Here is a 22,105-nt window from a genome sequence, read left to right as displayed (position 1 = left end):
CCCACTTTCAGTATTAGAAAGATCAATGAGACAGAAATTTAACAAGGATATCCAGGACTTGAACTTAGCTCTGGACCAAGTGGACCTAATAGACATCTACAGAACTCTCCACCCCAAATCAACAGAATATACATTCTTCTCAGCACCACATTGCACTTATGCTAAAATTGACCACATAGTTGGAAGTAAAACACTCCTCAGCAGATGGAAAAGAACAGAAATCATAACAGTCTCTCAGACCACAGTGCAATCAAATTAGAACTCAGGACTAAGAAACTCACTCAAAACCGCTCAACTACATGGAAACTGAACAACCTGCTCCTGAATGACTACTGGGTAAATAACAAAATGAAGGCAGAAATAAAGACATTCTTTGAAACCAATGAGAACAAAGACACAATGTACCGGAATCTCTGGGACATATTTAAAGCAGTGTGTAGAGGAAAATTTATAGCACTGAATGCCCACAAGAGAAAGCAGGAAAGATCTAAATTCGACACCCTAACATCACAACTAAAAGAACTAGAGAAACAAGAGCAAACATATTCAAAAGCTAGCAGAAGACAAGAAATAACTAACATCAGAGCAGAACTGAAAGTGATAGAGACATAAAAAAACCTTCAAAAGATCAATGAATCCAGGAGCTGGTTTTTTGAAAAGATCAACAAAATAAATAGACCACTAGCCAGACTAATAAAGAAGAATAAAGAGAAGAATCAAATAGACGCAATAAAAAATGATAAAGGGGATATCACCACCGATCCTACAGAAATACAAACTACCATCACAGAATACTATAAACACCTATATGCAAATAAACTAGAAAATCTAGAAGAAATGGATAAATTGCTGGACACATACACCTTCCCAAGGGTAAACCAGGAAGAAGCTAAATCCCAGAATAGACCAATAACAAGTTCTGAAATTGAGGCAGCAATTAATAGCATATCAACCAAAAAAAGCCCAGGACCAGACAGATTCACAGTCTAATTCTACCAGAGGTACAAAAAGGAGCTGGTACCATTCCTTCTGAAACTATTCCAAACAAAAGAAAAAGAGGGAATCCCCTCTAACTCATTTTATGAGGCCAGCATCATCCTGATACCAAAACCTGGCAGAGATACAACAAAAAAAGAAAATTTAAGGCCAATATCCCTGATGAACATCGATGCGAAAATCCTCAATAAAATACTGACAAGCCGAATCCAGCAGCACATCAAAAAGCTTATCCACCATGATCAAGTTGGCTTCACCTCTGGGATGCAAGGCTGGTTCAACATACGCAAATCAATAAACGTAATCCATAACAAACAGAACCAATGACAAAAAACACATGATTATCTCAATAGATGCAGAAAAGGCCTTTGACAAAATTCAACAGCCTTCATGCTAAAAACCCTCAATAAAGTAGGTATTGATGGAGTATCTCAAAATAATAAGAGCTATTTATGACAAACCCACAGGCAATATCATACTGAATGGGCAAAAGCTGGAAGCATTCCCTTTGAAAATCAGCACAAGACAAGGATGTCCTCTCTCACCACTCCTATTCAACATAGTATTGGAAGTTCTGGCCAGGGCAATCAGGCAAGAGAAAGAAATAAAGGGTATTCAGTTAGGAAAAGATGAAGTCAAATTGTCTCTGTTTGCAGATGGTATGACTGTATATTTAGAAAACCACATCGTCTCAGCCCAAAATCTTCTTAAGCTGATGAGCAATTTCAGCAAAGTCTCAAGATACAAAATCAATGTGCAAAAATCACAAGCATTCTTATAAACTAATAGCAGACAAACAGAGAGCCAAATCGTGAGTGAACTCCCATTCGCAATTGCTACAAAGAGAATAAAATACCTAGGAATACAACTTACAAGGGATGTGAAGGACCTCTTCAAGGAGAACTACAAACCACTGCTCAAGGAAGTAAGAGAGGACACAAATTAAAAAAACATTCCATGCTCATGGATAGGAAGAATCAATATCGTCAAAATGGCCATACTGCCCAAAGTATTTTATAGATTCAATGCTATCCCCATCAAGCTACCACTGACTTTCTTCACAGAATTGGAGAAAACTACTTTAAATTTCATACGGAACCAAAAAAGAGCCCACATAGCCAAGAGAATCCTAAGCAAAAAGAACAAAGCTGGAGGCATCATGCTACCTGACTTCAAACTATACTACAAGGCTACAGTAAAAAAAACAGCATGGTACTGGTACCAAAACAGAGATATAGACCAATGGAACAGAACAGAGGCCTCAGAAATAACACCACACATCTACAACAATCTGATCCTTGACAAACCTGACAAAAACAAGAAATGGGGAAAGGATTCCCTATTTAATAAATGGTGTTGGGAAAACTGGCTAGCCATATGCAGAAAGCTGAAACTGGATCCCTTCCTTACACTTTATACAAAAATTAACTGAAGGTAGATAAAAGACTCAAATGTAAGACCTAAAACCATAAAAACCCTAGAAGAAAACCTAGGCAATAATACCATTCAGGACATTGGCATGGGCAAAGACTTCATGACTAAGACATCAAAAGCAATGGCAACAAAAGCCAAAATTGACAAGTGGGATCTAGTTAAACTAAAGAGCTTCTGCACAGCAAAAGAAACTATCATCAGAGTGAACAGGCAACCTACAGAATACGAGAAAATTTTTGCAGTCTATCCATCTGACAAAGGGCTAATATCCAGAATCAACAAAGAACTTAAACAAATTTATAAGAAAAAACAAACAACCCCATCAAAAAGTGGGCAAAGGATATGAACAGACACTTCTCAAAAGAAGACATTTATGCAGCCAACAAACATGAAAAAAAGCTCATCATCACTGGTCATTAGAGAAATGCAAATCAAAACCACAATGAGATACCATGTCACGCCAGTTAGAATGGCAATCATTAAAAGTCAGGAAACAACAGATACTGGAGAGGATGTGGAGAAATAGGAATGCTTTTACACTGTTGGTGGGAGTGTAAATTAGTTCAACCATTGGGAAGACAGTGTGGCAATTCCTCAAGGATCTAGAACTAGAAATACCATTTGACCCAGCAATCCCATTACTGGGTATATACCCAAAGGATTATAAATCATTCTACTATAAAGACACATGCACATGTATGTTTATTGCAGCACTGTTCACAATAGCAAAGACTTGGAATCAACCCAAATGCCCATCAATGATAGACTGGATAAAGAAAATTTGGCACATATATACCATGGAATACTATGAAGCCATAAATCAGGATGAGTTCATGTCCTTTGCAGGGACATGGATGAATTTGGAAACCATCATTCTCAACAAACTAACACAGGAACAGAAAACCAAACACCACATGTTCTCATTCATAAGTGGGAGCTGAACAATAAGAACACATGGACACACAGAGGGGAACATCACACACTGGGGTCCATCAGGGGGTTGGGGGCTAGGGGAGGGACAGCATTAGAAGAAATACCTAATGTAGATGATGGGTTATGGGTGCAACAAACCACTACGGCACATGTATACCCATGTAACAAACCTCCACATTCTGCATATGTACCCCAGAACTTAAAGTATAATAATTAAGAAAAAAAAAAAGAGAGAGAGAAAGATTCTCGTGCCTCAGCCTCGCGAGTAGCTGAGATTACAGGCATGTGCAACCATGCCAGACTAATTTTTGTATTTTTAGTAGAGATGGGGTTTCACCATGTTGGCCAAACTGGTCTCGAACTCACGACCTCAGGTGATATGCCCGCCTCGGCCTCCCAGAGTGTTGGGATTACAGGTGTGAGCCACCATGCCCAGCTGGTTTATTCTAATAGGCTTCAAGAACCCCATTCAGTCTGGGATGCCTGCTCTCATCCCATGAGTCTTGGTGTTTTGTAGGGTGAGAAATGAGCTGTTTATAAAAGCTTTTCTCCAAGCAGAGTAGTAAATTTGCTTTTTGTTGTTGAGATGAGGTCTCACTTTGTTGCCCAGGCTGGTCTTGAAATCCTAGCCTCATGGGATCCTCCCCACTCCGCCTTCTAAAGTACTGAATTACAGGTGTGAGCCAGCAAATTTATTTTTATTTCCAACTCATCTTCATTTGGCTAGTATAGGATAATAATAGTAATCTCAATCTTTTGCTCTTTAATCATTTATTCAAAGGCCAAACTCATCCTACAAAGGATGGCAAGCTAAGAAAGTGCTTGCCATCATAATGTTCTTGAACACCCACTCCACATGATACACTGGACTGGGCCATTTGCCCATTTAATGGTTTGTTCCAAACTACACTACAGTAAAATTGATATGATTCCCATTTTGCAGTTGCAGCTCAAGAAATTAAGTTACTTGCTCCAGGCCCACAAAGCTAGCAGGGGAGAGCATGGATTCAGATTCAGGTATACCATTCACCTAAGCCTGCATTCTTTCTAATACATTACCTCACCTGTCAAACACAGAGAGTTACAATTAGAAGGACTGTCTTAGTCCAGTCATTTTATTTCAAATGAAAATATACTCTCATTTTATCTATTTTACTTATTTAATAAAGAACAGATGGCCCAAAGCAGTTTTCTTTAAGTTTTTCTGCTTACTCCTTCTCTTAATATAAAGACCAAAAAAATACTGGTACCTAATGAGAGCATTTATTATTTGACATAGTAAGAATTAGTACAGATCCTATGTTGTAACGTGTTCCACTCATGTTGCCTACCCTTCTTTCTATATAATCTAACAGCCTTCATTGCACAGTTCATTTAACTTATGAACACTTCAATTCCAAAATTGTTAAATCAAGATTTTAAGACTAGAACTAAATTGTTTAATAGAGAATAGAAGAAAAAGTCATTTACTTGAAAATGCACATATTTTCATCTTACATTTCTCTCAACAGGAAATATAATGTGTATATTCATTTTTCCATAATACCTAACAAGAAGAAATGCTTAATTTTAAAAAATACTTCAGCTACTCACTAAAACCAGTTCTTGAAAAACTTTCCACATTTGTTAATGCTGAAAAAAATGTTCACGTTTGTTACCAGTTCTTAAGAATGAGGGAGACGTGAGTTCTCGTTTCTACTGTTAATCTGCATCATGTTAGAAAGAGGGAATGGGCAGGGGTTCCAGGAAGGTGTGATGTCTCTGAATTCGGTTTAGAAGCTGCTGTGCCACAGGTTTGAATTCTGTTTCCCAATGGAGTTTGTGATAGTTTTTTAGGTCTGGATCAAAACTGCCATCCAGTGCTAGTTCTTCATCTGTATTAGAAAAATTTAAATTACAGCATTATTTAGAAATGTAATCCTATTGAATATAGTTTAATTTTGATGATATGAGTTAAACTCACCCTGGGTCGTCCTTTAATACCAACGTAACACAAGACAGGATTTCAGAGAAGTTCTTTACTCTCTTCTGTTCTTTATGAATACATCATTTTATTTTATTTTATTTGGAGAGGCAGGGTCTCCATGTATTACCCAGACTGGTCTCCAACTCCTGACCTCAAGCAATCCTCCCACCTTGGCCTCCCCAAGTGCCAAAGTGCTGGGATTGCAGGTGTGCGCTACCTCGCCAAGCCCATTAGTTTACAATTAGTCTATTTTGGTATCTTAATTTAAATGGGCAATATTTTTTTCAAAAAAAGTCTGGCCAGTTGTGGTGGCTCATACCTGTAATGCCAACACATTGGGAGCCTGAGGTAGGAGAATTGCTTGAGCCCCAGAGTTCAAGATTAGCTTGGGCAACACAGTGACAGCTCAGAAAAAAAAAAAAAAATCAGAAGATTATCTGGGCATGGGGGCATGTGCCTGTGGTCCCAGTTACTCGAGAGGCTGAGGTCAGGAGAATCACTTGAGCACGGGACATTGAGGCTGCAGTGGGGCACGATCATGCCACCGCCATCCAGCCTAAGAGACACAGAGAGACCCTGTCTCAAAAAATAAAAAATCCAAAATTGAACTGAACCCTTATTTCAACTAATTCCTTAGTTTTTTATATGTAAGTTTGTATCTAAAAGTCAGATCACAATTTCTCAGAATAAACAACGTATTAATATGTTACTTCCTTATGTGTACATAGAAAAATTAATTACTTCAAAGGTTAGGTATAAAAGGAATCAGGAAATCTTTTAGGAAAATAGCTCAGTTAAATTTGACACTTTAAACTTTACTGAAAATCAGAACTTTGCTGGCTTCAAAGCAGCAGGGAAGTAGTACTTTGGAAAGACAACTTTCCACCCCCAAACTCTCTCCATAACTGAAAACTGAGAGACCTTGGGAATCCCAAGGAGTATTAGAATCCCAAGTGAGCCCATGGATAATGCAGAAAAGAACTTGTAAGAATAAAATGCAAAAGTACAACTTCAATTCTTAATCCAAGGAATTCTGGGAACACCATAAATATATTCAATCCAGGTAGGAAGATAAATGACCATAAATATATTCAATCCAAGTAGGAAGATAAATGACCACTGAGGTTTCTGTGCTGATTGCCACAGCAATTTTACATGTTGATGTTGAGCCTCACACTCTGTGTGACAGACTTCAGAAAAGTGCACTGACCTGCCAATCAGATTAGCTCTGCCACTTCCTACATTTGTGACATGAGGCCAACTTCTAAAATGGTAACCACTAAATCCTAAAACAACCACAGATGTTGTTACTTAAATTGCCAACACTTTTTTTTTTTTTTTTTTGAGATGGACTCTCGCTGTGTCACCCAGGCTGGAGTGCAGTGGCGCAGTCTCGGCTCACTGCAACCTCTGCCTCCCGGGTTCAAGCAATTCCTCTGCCTCAGCCTCCTGAGCAGCTGGGATTACAGGCATGTGCCACCACACCCAGCTAATTTTTTCTTTTTAGTAGAGACAGAGTTTTACCATGTTGGCCCGGCTGGTCTCCAACTCCTGACCTCAAGTGATCCGCCTGCCTTGGCCTCCCAAAGTGCTAGGTTACAGGCGTGAGCCACTGCACCCAGCTGCCGATACTTTTTTTTTAAGGGCCAATGAAAATCCTATTACAAAATGCTTCATGACTCTGTTGATATCAGATTTTCTACACTGAATATTTGTGTACATTCACTGTGTACTTTGGCACTATGGGTGTTAGTGTCACCACCCAAAATAAGATAAGGGAGTCTGGAATCCCAGTTTGTACCTTCCTCTCATCACAACCAAGTGGTCAACTATGCAGTTCTGAGATAAGCTCCAGGCAGACACAAACACTTCGGCAAGGAGCTCCATGGAGACCCTGTAAGCAAACCTGGATCTCCCCACCCATGAGATAACTGGGCCCTGAGGGGAGGAGAATGCAGGTGATATGTGGTGCGTTCAGAGCTCTTCCTGTTTGGCTACTTCCAGACAAAAAGAGTCAGGTAGTCTCAGTGATTCAGATTTCATTCCGTTTTTTCGAGACAGAGTCTACTCTGGAGTGCAATGGTGTGATCTCGGCTCACTGCAACCTTCATGTCCCAGATTCAAGTGATCCTTGTGCCTCAGCCTCCCAAGTAGCTGGGACTACAGGCATGTGCCACCAGACCAGGCTAATTTTTTGTGTTTTTAGTAGAGATGGGGTTTTGCCATGTTGCCCAGGCTGGTCTCGAACTCCTGACCTCAGGTGATCCACCCACCTTGGCCTCCCAAAGTGCTGGGATTACAGGTGTGAGCCACAGCGCCCAGCCAGTGATTTCACATTTCTAGGCCATCTTCCTGCTCACTGTTTTCCAGATTTTCTGAACATTAAATTTTGTTGAAAAGTGAATTCTGCTGTATAAAAATAAAATTCTGTTGTATAGAAAATGAATTCTGTTGTATAGAAAATAAATTCTGGGTACGGTGGCTCACGCCTATAATCCCATCACTTTGGGAGGCTGAGGCAGGTGGATCACCTGAGGTCAGGAGTTCAAGATCAACCTGGCCAACATGATGAAACCCCATCTCTACTAAAAATACAAAAAATTAGCCAGGCATGTGGCGGGCTCCTGTAGTCCCAGCTACTTGGGAGGCTGAGGCAGGAGAATCACTTGAACCCAGGAGGCAGAGAGTGCAGTGAGCCATGATCGTGCCATTGCACTCCAGCCTGGGCGACAGTGAGAGACTCTGTCTCAAAAAAAAAAAAAAAAAAAAAGAAAAGAGAAGAAAAAGAAAAGAAAGAAAGAAAATGCATTCTGTTGCAGAAGCCCTTCTTTCCCAAGCTGCTGGCGGCTGAGCAGTGTGGCCTGGGCATGTCATAGTCCCTTCTTTCTCCTAGGGCTTTGGTTAGATTTAGTGGTTTTAGCAAAATCTCTGTTGGGTGAGTGGCTTTTTAAAATCTAATGTCAAGACCATGTTACTTGTCTTGAGGCCCAGCCTATAGTTAATCCACCCTCAAACCATATTAATTCTAAATTGGGTTAGACAAGATAACAAGAATAGCCAAACAGCTACAGGTAAGAGAAATGAGGTCTAAAGTTTCAAAGTAAACACAGCAACATACATTAAAAGTGCCATATCACATGGGGTATTAAATTTTGGAACTTGTACTGCAAAGAGTAGCAGAGGCTGATTGAGTAAAAATTTAGATCTATGATTCAATTTTTTTTTTTAAGAGACAGAGTCTCATTCTGTCACCCAGGCTGGAATGCAGTGGTGCAATCATAGCTCACTGTAGCCTTGAATTCCTGGGCTCAAGTGATTCTCCCACCTCAGTTTCCTGAGTGGCTAAGACTACAAAACACACACACCCAGCTAATTTTTTCACTTTTAGTAGAGATGGGTCTCACTACGTTGCCCAAGCTGGTCTCAAACTCCTAGCCTCAAGTGATTCTCCCACCTCGTCCTCCCAAAGTGCTGGGATTACAGGCATGAGCCATTGCACTCAGCCTTTGATTAATTCTTTTTAAGATTTGAATCATCATAAGTTAGAAACTGTGCTTCACAGTATTTTGCATCATGACTCTGTATACATATACCTACTTATATATGAATAAACAAATGTTTCACATTATAATACTTGTCTTTACTAAATATAATACATTCTGATATTTTCTTTCTTTGCTACTTCATTTTTTAAAGATGCTGGTCACAACCAACTAAATTGTTTTCCTGACCTGCAGTGTGAAAAGTGCTTATTTAGGTAACCAATCATTCTTAAGCTTTCTTTAGGCACAGCATGCTTCCAAATACTAAAATTTGGGGCAAAGTATTAGAAAGAATTAAAAGACCCTAAAATATAAATATGTATCAATGGTCATTACAACACAATCATCATTAGAAGTTTGTGTCCTGCAGCATCTATAAAAGCTTCCTTTACTCACTACACTATTTCCTAGCTAGCTGTTCAGCAGCAGATGGCTGTTTAAGGGATTTATCATCGCCCTGACCATTCTCTTATAAGGCAAAGTTGTCGAATGTTCTAGAAGCACCTGAAAGCTCTTCAACATAGGTTGATGTGATCCTCCAACTTGAACGTGGGGCCCCGCTCTACCCTTGTCACAAAACCTAAGTGCCCACTGCCACAAAACTTAGGATGAACATACAACAGCCTAGTGTACTTCCCATTTGCAACAATAAACTACACACATGGTCATCAGGTGCCAGCTCCCCACAGAGGGGCTCATGGTAGTCTGGAGTGCTCAGCACACCACTAAGAACTTCAGCATCAACACGCTGCTTATGAGCTCATAAGACATGACTGCAGTATAATGGGAAGTTTCAGACCACGTTCTTTTAAAGCCACTTTCCAGAAAGACTGTCAACATTCCAACGATGTTGAGGGTATATTACTTCTCCTTTTTTTCTAGTCACTCAGCAAGAAAAAGTTAGGTAACTTACATTACTATAGAAATTGCCATACCAGTATTTGCAAAAACAGTGTTCATACTTCAACACAGGCCTTGGTAATTCAACAGCTCATCCTGTTTCCAAAATGGCCTGTTTTTGTTTGTTTGTTTGTTTTAGCTATCTTTGTAAAAGAATTGAAATGCAAGTATACTCTCACCCACATGCCCATTTCACTCGCAGCAGTCCCACTGCCCAGACCCAGCCACGACCCGGTCAGAAGTCAGGGTCTGAGTGCTCATTGCCAAGAGAAAAGCCAGGAGGCAGCACAGCCCACCACCCAGCCCACAAGGCACAGTCCCCATGGTTCGTGAAGAGGAGCTCACGTGAGAAACCTGGGATGCATTGCAGTGGCTTGGCTTCCTGAGTGAGCTGTGTTTATTTGCTGTTATCCATGCCACAGTCCCCCTGCACAAGGTGCAGTGGAGTAAGGGTGTTCTAGGTAACGGAGCGGCTGGAAAACACAAGGCTAGTTGTTTGTTTTCGGATGGGAATTCCTGCCTTTGCTACAGTATGACTTCAGGCAAGCCACTTAACTGTCCTAAAACCTACTTTCCGTATCTGTCACCTAGCTGATGGCCTCAGATCTTTCAAAAATAGAATAAACATGCTTTTAAAAGGATATAGCACTATTGAAACAAAGGTACCACCATTGTTAGCCAATCCACATGCAGCTATCAAGTACCTTCTTTGTATGAGGCAATATCCTTTTCCTAAGGTGGTTCAGTTGCAAAGGGGAAATAAGATAAAACTCACAAAATAATAATACAGGATAATTACAGGACAAGTTACACAATTCATGACTGATTGCTATATAAGAAGTATAGATTTCCTATGACTAGCCTACGACTGTGGGCTTGAGAAGCTACGTGGGAAGGGCCTGCACCTGGCTAGGCAGATTGGGATGGGCAGGCAGGAAATGAAACAGAACATGTGCAAAGGCACAGAGGCGGGAGAAGCACAATCAGAAGCCCAGTTAGGCTATGGAAAAGTTGGGAATGGAGCGCAGTCAGCCCTTCGCATCCACGGGCCACGTATCCACAGGTTCAACCAACCACAGACAGAATATTTGAAACAACAACAATAAAAAGAATACAAATAAAAATCACAGCACGACAACCATTTACATAGCGTTCACACTGTAGGTATTATAAGTAGTCTAGAGATGGTTTAACGTGTGCAGGAAGATGTGTGTAGGTGAAATGCCAATTCTATGTCATTTTATATCAGGCACTTGGGCATCTGTGTTGGTATCTGAGGCAGGCCCTGAAACCAATCCCCCCAGATACCAAGGGGTGACTGTAACAGGCAGCAGGGCCCACTAAAATGAAGTGCCTTCCAGGTACACTGCCCCTGCTGAGAAGCCAGCCATGCCCACACCTCCTTCTGATCCATCTTTATGCCACACGGCCCCGGCCCCGCAGCCCCACCATCCTTGTTATTTATGGCTGATTGCCCCAGGCTTGGGTAACAAAGGAAACCACAGATAGCCTGTCACCCGGTAGCTGCTGCCTATGCGGGAAAGCCCTGGGCCATAGGACAGTGACTCACTGAGCCAATCATATCTTCTCCTGGAGTGGGTGACATAGGAAAGTGCCCTGGCAACAGACAGACACAGGGAGGGCAGCAAGTGGAAGCCTGGAGGTAGCTGAAGCCATGATCTAGAAGGAGCCTAGAGAGAGTAAGTGGGGAGAGAATTCTTTCCCTAACAGCAGACACAACACAGCTGGGTCTCCAGAATGGCAGAGCCCAGGGGGCGGAGCTCATGACGCCCACGGCTGAGGGGTCACTTGGGACTCTGGCTCCTGCCTGCCTCTCTGGGAGGCTTTGAGCAGTATCTTGTTTCCTGGCTTCTTTCTTCTCTGTACACTCTTCCCTTAAGCTCCTTTGCTAACGAGAGCAGGGGCTCTCAATCTTAGCTAATAGACTCACCTGTGGAACTTTGAACACAGATTCTCAGCCTCATCCCAGAGCTTCTGAATCAGAATTCCTAGGGCTGGGGCCAGGAAGGTGTTTTTAGTTTTTTTGGGTTTTAACTCCACAGCTGATTTCAATGCTCTACCACCATCGAGAACTGAATTAAGGCAACCTGAACATGCACTTCTGCTCCCTGCAACCTGAGTCAGTTTAATGCTCATGGAGCCGACTGTGAACCTCAATGATTAAAAAAAAATGCTCACTTTTTTTTCCTTATTGTGTTTTAAAACACATGTACAAAATTATATTTACCTGGAAAAACCAAATTTCACATCAACCTAGCAAACCCAATTATTTCAAACAACTCCTGAGTTCCAGTTTCTGTTTAGTAGCACGGTGTTACAACACTTAAAGAGTTTCCAGAGCACGTCAGCCACCTTCTGAGGACTTGCTATGCAGCAGGCACTGTGTTAGGCTCTTTGTACACATCTGCTCATTTATCACCCTGCAATCTGGACATTAATTATCCTCATCTTGGAGATGATAAAATATCATTTCGGAACGGCTGATAATCTGTGTTTTTAAAAGTTCCACGGGTGAGTCTGCTCTGCAGCCAGGATTGGGAGCCTCTGCTCTGGTTAGTGAAGGAGTGTAAAGGAAAGGTGTCTGTTAAGCTTTCTCAGGTTGCAGAGAAGTTGAGCTCAAAATTTAAAAACTCAGCACCTATGGCTTCCAAGTGACCTTGAGCCTTTCCACATGGCCTCCTGGATCTAGTATGGTGGCTGGGCAGTGATGGGTACATCTCCTCTATTTGGGAAAAAGGATTATTAAAAACACTCACTTACTGACCCAAATCATTGTTTTTAGAATTAACCCAGGAAGAAAAAAATTATCCTAAAATTATAAAAATTTTTTAAATGTAAAAAATGATCCTGGCCAGGCAAGGTGGTTCACACCAGTAATCCCAGCACTTTGGGAGGCTGAGGTGGGAGGATCGCTTGAGCCCAGGAGGTTGACACCAGCCTGGGTAACATAGCAAGACCTCATCGCTACAAAAAAAAAAATTTTTTTTTAATTATCTGGGCATGGTGGTGCGTGTCTGTAGTCCCAGCTACTTGAGAGACAGAGGCAGGAGGATCACTTGAGCCCAGGAGTTTAGAGCTGCAGTGAGCAGTGATCGCACCACTGTATTCCATCCTGGATGACAGAGCAAGACCCTGTCCCAAGAAAAGAAAGAAACAATCTTCTTTCCTTTGATTTGTATCAGTGATTTCCTACCTTTCAAGGATATAAACTCCATTGTAATGCCAAATAGTCTCACAGGCCCTCACCCACATGATAATTAACGTAGCTAATTAAAATGTATAGCTTCATTTAAAAGCATGACTTGAGTAGATTTTAGCCGTATTTTCTCAATTACAATAGTGTCTATTTGCTTTTGAACAACAGAAGTACATTTACGCTGAGGTCTTATATTTATGCACTCTAGAGAAAATGCAAAAAAAAAAAAAAAAAGCCATAGAAGAAATCATGAATGTATCTAATGAGTTGAAAGTCCTTCTGTCCCCACTGTAAATAGCATTCAGCCTTTTCAGTTCCAAATTATAGTAATCTTTAACATACTCTTGTTGCTTATAGAAATATAGTCACCTAAATGCATACTAATATTTATCCGAACAGGTCACAGAAAAAAACTATCTCACACTCTGATAAAACTCACAGACTCATCATAGTCAAGAGTCTTACCTAAAAATGATGAGAGCAAGAGTAAGAGTGTGTTGGTGTCTTCATTTCCAAAACATGACGAAGCATTAGTGATGTTTTCACTGAAGTTCCATAAAGTTTTACAAACCAAGCAGGCCAGCTGCCAATCAGTAGGACCCAAATCTCTTAAACAGTCCACTAACCTGAGTTAATAAAATTCAAATTGAGAAGTTATTAGGTCAGAATCTGTCTTTAATTTTAATATTGTTAGCATAATGATTATCCTTCTGTGATATGTAAGTATAATCCAGTGATCACTTAAAATAATTCCTTATCTATAAATTTAAGTGGTTATAAAGTAGCAATAATCTACTTCTACACCTTTTTTTTTTTGAGACAGAGTCTCACTCTGTTGCCCAGGCTGAAGTGCAGTCGCGCGATCTCGGCTCACCGCAACCTCCACTCACTGCAACCTCTGTATCCCGGATTCAAGCGATTCTCCTGCCTCAGCCTCCTGAATAGCTGGGATTACAGGCGTGTGCCACAACGCCTGGCTAATTTTTGTCTTTTTAGTAGAGACAGGGTTTCACCATGTTGGCCAGGCTGCTCTCGAACTCCTGGCCTCAAGTGATCTGCCCACCTCGGCCTCCCAAAATGCTGGGATTACAGGTGCGAGCCACCACACCTGGCCTACTTCTGCACTATTTTAAGTATCCAGTGGAATCTAAACCCCCTCTTTAGCCTCAGCTTAGGGGCTTCCCAATGTTGAAATACCTTTGCCCCACAGGAATGATGAAAGGGCCAAAGCTCCCAAGAAAATGATGTCCTTCAAATCCTGAGAGAGTCAGTACTCTACGCCCTGAAACTTACTTTTTAATGCCACCTCCTTCTTTCAAGATGACACGCTTGTCTTTATCCACAGTGAGATTGAGGAGAACACCACAGGCAGAAAAGCAGATATCCTGATGCTGAGCATCCAGCAGCGCCATCATGAACCTGTGGACTACGAGGGAAGAGAGCAAATGCAGACCAGTAAAAGTTCAGGATTCCCAGCTGTCTCTTGTTTTACAGATGGTATGGGGAAACGGGGAGTGGCTTGCAAACCCAGAACCCCTGTTAAGGGACTTAACTCATTCTTCCTAAGGCTTTATCCATCACACAGCAGTGGGTTCCCCAATACCCACCACTCCCAGAGTTGGCTCCCCCAATCGACAGATACTGCAAAACCTGACCCAGGCAGCAGCTGCTTCTCCACGGCAGTGAAAGAGTCCCAGCTGGTGGAAAGGAGGGAGCACAGGTGACACTCATCTAACTTCCAGTTATTCTCAAGGGTGTTCCTAAACCTCCAGCAGCAACTGTCTGTCTTTAAATACACAGTCCTGGAGAGGGGAGTTGGCTCCTGGTGGGATCATTCCTGAAGTCTCCCAGGGCCATGTGTAAGACTCAGACTGCTAAAAACCAACCTGGGGCAAGGCAGGCCTTCCAGTGTAGGGACATCTCAAGGCAGGACAGGCTCCTGCCTCAGGAGAATCATTTTCCCTTACTCCTAGGAAATGGAACTGGGAACTGTTTGTCCTGTTTTCTCATCCCTCAGCAGACGCTGAGCAAAGGGTTGGGGAAGAGTGAGTAAAGTGTGCATTCTGCCTCCTCCCACAGTACGTGCACCTGAGAGGGGCTGCCCTGTTCTAGCCCCGGCCCTGTTAACTGGGTTGGGCAGTAAGCTTGACAGAGGCAACATCACGTACATATGTGCTCTTAAGAGGCTAAATAGTGCCCAGCAAAATGTGCAGTTATCTGCAGGTAGTGAGAGGATGGGGCATGGTTTGCTGCTGCTGCTTTTTGTATCTGTATTATTGAAATTTTCCATTACGAACATGGAGAGTTATGTTTTTAAAATTATTGTTACATGAAATATTTGAGACATACAAAGAGTCAAAGTATACTAATATTTGAGACATACAAAAATATTTGAGACATACAAAGGGTATAAACATGTGGGTACTTGCCACTCAGTTTAAGAAATAAAACATTACATTCCAAACAATATGTTGTACATAATAAATATAAACAATTCTTATTTGATAATAAATAACATTATAGGTCCAATTATAATCTTTGGACATCCCTTTCTTTCCAAAGGTGAATGCTGTCCTTTTTTAATTTTTAAATTTTTTTTATTTTTTAGAGATAGAGTGTCGCTCTGTCTCCCAGCCTAGAGGGCAGTGGCACAATCATGGCTCACTGTAGCCTCAAACTTCTGGGCTCAAGTGATCCTCCTGCCTCAGCCTCCCAAGTAGCTGGGACTTGTGCCACCACCACGTCTGGCTAATTTTAAATTTTTGTAGAGACAGGTTCTCACTATGTTACCCAGGTTGATCTCAAACTCGTGCCCTCAAGCAATCCTCCCACCTTAGCCTCCCAAAGTGCTGGTATTACAGGCTTGAACCACTGTACCCAGCCTGAACTCTGTCTTAAATTGGAGTTTACTATTTCCAATTACTATTTATACTGTATAGCATCACTACGTGAATACCTGTGCAGAAGCAATACCAATGCAGAAGCAAAAGGTAGTTTTGTATGTTTTAAAACTTATATTCAAGGCATTCCTCTGCATATATCCTCCTATTGCTTTTAAATGCTAGAGAACATTTTATTGCATGAATATACCATAATGAATTTGTCCTCTTCTCTGTTGAGGAACATTTAGGTTGTTTCTACTTTTTGCTATTATAAGCAAAATGTAATAGACATTCTAGTACATAAAAGAGAATGTCTTCTTAAGAATATGCCCCCAGACAGAAGTGATTACTCAAGATTCACTGTTTCCATTAGACATACACACACCCCATCTTGGAGCACAGAAGGCCATTCACAAGGCAGAGGGGAACACTGCCTAGGTCCATCTTGGCATCCTGAGCCAGGAGCCTTAAACACGAAGCTTTACAAATCTCAAAACGGAAACAAGTATAACACTGTAATGACTCAAGCTGCAAAACCACTCAGCTGATTATTGGCAAAAAGTGAATGTTTATGAATTCTAGTGTTATTAACTCACCATTGTTCTGCACAATGAAATCGCAGACATCATGGTCCTGGGAGAGATTTCCGAAAACACGCACAGCCTCCAGGATTCCATCCATGTTGTTACTGACAAGAAGCTTTAAGAGCACTGGATTTGGCGACCAGAGAAATTAAATCAGTGAATTTAAGTTTTAACTTAAAGGTTAATGGAAATCAACATCATACTTAATACTGATGATTTTCAAATGATAATAAATTACAAACTGTAAGGGACTTTAGCAAGAACTAAGAAACTAATTTTTCCCATTTCTAGTTTCCCCATATTCTAATTTCTTAGAATCATCAGGCTCTAAGACATTTCTGTACCAGAAGGCAGAAGATAGTAATGTCTCCTGCTCTGTGTTTAGTTAATAAAATCGAAACTTCAAATGAGCACTCATTTATCCAAATCCAACTCTGAACCTTACATTCAGCAATATATAGCTTTTTGTCTTGAATTATGGAATTCTTCACTTGGTAGTAAGATAAATTGTTGATTGTCGCTGTAGCATTGATCACCAGCTCCTCACAATCATCAAGTGACTTGTATTCTGAAATGAAGTAAGGATAAGGGAGTCAAAGACCCACTGCAGGAGTAGAACCAACTACGTTGCAACTACAGCAACAGCAGGGCCAGGAGCCGGCTGCGATCACGCAGGGTCCCTACAAAGGCCCTGGAGAGGCACCTTTACCACTTGATTTCCCCCGACTCCTCCTGCACGGAAATGCCCCAAATGCAAGGGCCTGCTCCTGGCCAGAGCAGAGAGGACACTGTCAACTCAATCCTCGCAGCCAGGAGGTCTGGAAAAGTCCAGCTGATCTGGGACCTGTGTCTGAAGTAAAGCAAAGGGGCCAACACGGCAGTGAGCGGAGCCATCTCCAATCCCGCCTGTTTTCTGGGTCTTCAGGCTCTCCCAGGGGCTCCTCCTTGGAGTCTGTGCCCTCCTTCCCACACCGCCTCCCAACAGAACGGCCCCGGGGTCACGATCCGTCTGTGACTACGAACTCTAGAAGACACCTCTGGCCTCCTCTACCTCCCCACTAGTTCATCTCTCAGCACTTGCTGGCTTCTCTTCTTCCACTTTTGCCTCCCTAAATCTATTCTCAACACAGTTATCCTTTAAAAGCAAGTCAGATACTGCCACCCACCTCATAACCCACGAATAGACTGCGTCGTCTGGTTCACAAGACCTACCTGGCAGCTCCAGGCCTTATCTCTCTGGCCTCATTTGCTCCTCCTACTCCCAGACCCCCAAGGCCAACCACACCAGCCTCCTGGCCTCTTGGAATATGCCAGCATGCCCCTGCCTGAGAACCCGTGCACTGCTGAACTTTCTTCTGGAACATACTGTCCTCCCAGTTAGTCACTTGGCTCACTCCTTACGTCCTCCTAGCAGTTGCTTACATGCCGCCTTGTTGGACATACTTTCCGTAACCTCCCTATTTAAAATAGCACCTATTCTCTTTTTTCTCACCCTGCTTTAATTTTCTCCATAGCACATATGACCACCTGATGTTATATATGTGTTTAATGTTTGTCTTTCAGCCCTAAAATGTCAGCTTCCTGAGGCCTAGGGATGTGTCTGTTTTCTTCATGGCTGCATTCCCAGCTTCTAGAACAGTGCCTGGCACATAGTGAGTGCTGGATGCAAGAATAATTGATCCTCTAGCTTAGCACATAAGGCCCTTAGTGGTTTTTGTCCCTGCCTCCCACTCAGTCTCCAGACTCATCTCTTGACATTTCTGGCCACAGTGTGAGGATGAGAAGAGGCAGGGCTGCAGCTGGGAGTGGTCCCAGTGACCTCAGCATAGCGTGGACACGGGTGATGGCGGAGATGTGGCGGAGTGGAGACTGTGCTTGGCAGAGACTGGATGGGGGTGTGAGGGAGAGGAATCACCCGGGGTGTCCCCCGCCGGTGCACATAATTGGGTAGATGTTGACCACATTGTCTGAAATAAGGGCACAGGAAGAGGGCCAAGTTCAGGGACAGGTCATGAATTCAGCTTAAGATATGCTGAGGTGCTTCTGAAGCACCCCCAGGAGAGGAGGGGTAGACAGTTGGATCTAAGAGTTGGGCAATCAGACCGGCCTGGGCAACACGGTGAAACCCTGTCTTTACAAAAAATACAAAAAATTAGCCGGGTGTGGTGTCAGGTGCTTGTAATCCCAGCACTTTGGGAAGCCAAGGCGGGCTGATCACTTGAGGTCAGGAGTATGAGACCAGCCTGGACAACATGGTGAAACCCCGTCTCCACTAAAAATACAAAAATTAGCCAGACTTGATGGCACAAGCCTGTAATCTCAGCTACTTGGGAGGCTGAGGCAGAAGAATTGCTTGAACCCGGGAGGCAGAGGTTGCAGTGAGCCAAGATTGCACCACTGCACTCCAGTCCGGGTGACAGAGGGAGACCCCATCTCAAAAATAAAAATAAAAATAAATAAATAAATAAATAAAAAAGAGCTGGGCAATCAGAGAAAGAATCACGAGCCCGGCAACACTGAGCCAGTGACTGCAGCTTGAACAGGCCACCGCCTCCCCTCCCTCCTGCACAAGTCCACCCACTGTTGGGAGAGCCCCCAGTCCTTCTCCACCTGGTCTCACCTGCTCCAGAGGCCCAGTCCCAGCCTGCGAGGGAGGCCACTCAGCACCTGCACACAACTTGGCTCATGACTTGCCCACTTCCCATTACTGAATAGGAAGTGCCTTTTCTTTCCTGTATGAAACCGAAGTTTTTCTTTGGGGAGCAAGCAGGGGGGCTATGAGCTGAGGAAGAGGACTGTGCTTGTTCTTGAATTCTCCAACTTAAGTATCGCCCCCTTTGGCCATCTTTTCCTGTTCATTAAAGAGAACAGCCTTTTTATAAATTACTATGTTGAAAGGAAAGCTCAGTCATTTGTAGGCTGCAGAAGACATACACTGTTCCTTCCGCCAGTGGCCCCTCCCGCTAGAGCAGCAAGCATAGGCCCAGTACCTGGTAGACACTTAATGGATACTTGGAAAAAGAAAGAATAAATAAAGACCTGACTTCCTCTTTTTTAGTTTAAGTATATAAAAAGGGAATAAGGAACTGAATTATTTTGGTTATCAATATGGATTCTACTGTAAGGAAATATTCTAGTTATGGTAAAAGAAGGGACACAGGACCTCCAAATTATTCCCTCTTGCTTTGGCCAGGACTCTGGAGCCAGAACCCTGTGCTTCCACTCACTGGCCGTGTGACCTTACTCAAATTATTTAACCTCCTTGGGCCTCAGTTTCCTTGATGGTAAAGTAAGCATGATCATTGCACCTACATTATAGAGTTGTTACAAAGTTTAAATGCATTCAAGGGCTTAAATGAGTGCATGGCACATAGTGGGTGCTAAGTAAGTGCTTATTACATGAACAGATGGGCCATCCAGAATGACGGCTCATGGGGAGCAGCTCAGGTGAATGTCTAACTCTTGGGCAAAGGGCCTACAGCCCTAGTTTCCTCCAGCCCCAGACTGATGACACTAGGTCTTGGGCAGTGTTTGGGGATCTGTTTTATTTCTCTTGCCTTGGTAGGAGAATTCGTTAGCTTGTCCAGAAAATGCAGGGTAGCTCTTATTGTCTGACCTCCCGAAGGACCACACATTTGGGCGGCAGGAATGGTGTCTGGTATCTGGAACTAGAGGGTAGGTACTCACAGCTCCTAAGCATTTATCATAAACAGCACTAGGCACTTTACCATGCATGTAACCCTCAAAAGTCAGCTAATAAGTTTTACATGCACTTACAAGAATTCACACCCACAATAATTCATTCTCGAAAGGTGCATCTGTCTCAGTCACCTTGGCCTGTCATAATAAAATACCATAAACTGGGTGGCTTGAACCAACAGGAATTTATTTTCTCACAGTTACGGAGGCTGGAAGTCCAAGATCAGGGAGGCTGCATGGTCAGGCTCTGGTGTCTCTTCTTGTAAGGGCCCTAACTCCAGCATGAGGTCCCCACATCATGGCCTTATCTAAACCTAATTATCTCCCAAAGGCCCCATCTCCAAATACCATCACATGGGGGTTAGGACTTCATAGATGAATTTAGGGGTCAGATGAGAACACTGAGGTTTAGAGAAGTTCAATACCTCACCTCACTTCACAGAGCACACATCTAAATCCAGGTGTACTTGACCCCTACTATCCTACTCTTTCCACAGAACGCTGCGGAAGCCAAGGACTCAGGGTTGCTGAGTTCCCATTGGAGCTAGTTGGGGCAATAGACTGCTTCCAAAAAACCATGACAACCATCCTACCCTCTATAATTCACTCACGGATATGAGACAATCTGGAATTTGGACTTGCCACTAAGTCAGCAAATCTCTGAGTCTGGTGGCATACTGAGAGGGTCAGTTCTTACTAGAAACATTATTGATTTTTAAAAGACCCTCTGCAATGAGGCTGACCTCTCTAGGCAAGTCCTGGGGTACAAGTAACTCCTTGTGAAGGGTGCAGGGCTAGAGGGAGGTAGGAAGAAAAGAGCCTAAGGGATGCCCTTCCCACATGACTAGGGAAGGGGGCCATGCCACAGGAGCCATCAGGCTGGGAGGAGTGCTCAGCTCTGAGGGTAAACAGGACAGCAGCAACTCTGAGTTCAGTGGGCACAACCAAACCACGGGCAGGCCCTTTCTATAGTCACAGTCACAGCCCAGCACTGGCCCTGCGTTGCTCTAAGCTGCCAGGCCTGTCAGAGGGGGCAGGAGGCCTTTCCTGGAATGTGGTCACCACTCCACACCGACACAGACAAAACAGGTAGGAAATCCACAGAGACCAGTGTAGAAAGGGCTTAGCAGGGCTTAGAAACTCACCCAGGAGTCGAGCTGTGTAAGGGGAAGGTGGAGGGGGGTGACCCCCTGTCAGGGGTGACTTTTGCCCTTCTATCAACTTTTATTTGGAGATAAAGTCTTTCAGGAGAGAATAGAGAAGGGATCACCTGCTTGCCCAAACAACTGCCTAAGGCATAGTAGGCAAGAGGCCTGACCCATCACAGGAGAGCAGGGTTTCTTCACTTCTGCTCAACCTCATATGGTACCAGGCTCTAATACAGAGACTAAAACATTTCTCACAGGGAGGCCCTTGACCACCTGTATCAGGAGCAGCCAGGGAGCTTTAGAGAGAGAGTCTCACTCTGTCGCCCATGCTGGAGTGCAACAGTACGATCTTGGCTCACTGCAACCTCCACCTCCTGGGTTCAAGAGATCCTCCTGCCTCAGCCTCCTGAGTAGCTAGGACTACAGGCACGTGCCACCATGCCTGGCTAATGTTTGTATTTTTAGTAGAGATGGGGTTTTGCCATGTTGGCCAGGCTGGTCTTGAACTCCTGACCTCAAGTGATCTGCCCACCTCAGCCTCCCAAAGTGCTGGGATGACAGGTGTGAGCCACTGCGCCCGGACTTTTTCTTGGAGACAGGGTCTCACTCTGTTGCCCAGGCCAGAGTGCAGTGGTGTAAGCATGGCTCACTGCAGCCTTGACTTCCTGGGCTCAGGTAATTCTCCCACCTCAGCCTCCTGAGTAGCTGAGATCACAGGCGTGTCCCACCACACTCAGCTAATTTTTTTTTTTTTTTTTAATAGAGACAGGGTTTTGCCATGTTGCCCAGTCTGGTCCGGAATCC

At 43.2% G+C, this 22,105-nt stretch overlaps 1 protein-coding gene across 14 annotated transcripts in view; it reads right to left on the bottom strand.

Moving 5' to 3' along the window:
* The window catches only part of ARMC2 (armadillo repeat containing 2), a 204,619-nt gene that overhangs the window by 74,447 nt on the left and 108,067 nt on the right, over positions 1 to 22,105 (bottom strand). For 10 of the 14 annotated variants that reach the window (XM_005267154.5, XM_005267155.3, XM_006715573.3 and 7 more), the window contains 5 exons: positions 16,900 to 17,022; positions 16,467 to 16,580; positions 14,282 to 14,414; positions 13,454 to 13,614; positions 4,118 to 5,237 (listed from right to left, as the gene is read on the bottom strand). In XM_005267154.5, coding sequence (XP_005267211.1) covers positions 5,080 to 5,237; positions 13,454 to 13,614; positions 14,282 to 14,414; positions 16,467 to 16,580; positions 16,900 to 17,022 — 689 coding nt within the window. In that variant the 3' untranslated portion in view covers positions 4,118 to 5,079. Of the gene's footprint in view, positions 1 to 4,117; positions 5,238 to 13,453; positions 13,615 to 14,281; positions 14,415 to 16,466; positions 16,581 to 16,899; positions 17,023 to 19,074; positions 20,123 to 22,105 lie in introns of those variants that run through there. The other 4 variants (XM_047419396.1, XM_011536168.4, XM_011536170.3 and 1 more) reach the window with 3 other exon arrangements.

This window comes from Homo sapiens, chromosome 6, assembly GCF_000001405.40.
Source record: "Homo sapiens chromosome 6, GRCh38.p14 Primary Assembly".
Lineage (NCBI taxonomy): Eukaryota > Metazoa > Chordata > Mammalia > Primates > Hominidae > Homo > Homo sapiens.
Note: the sequence above shows the minus strand (reverse complement) of the source record. Positions and strands in the feature narration are given on the sequence as shown.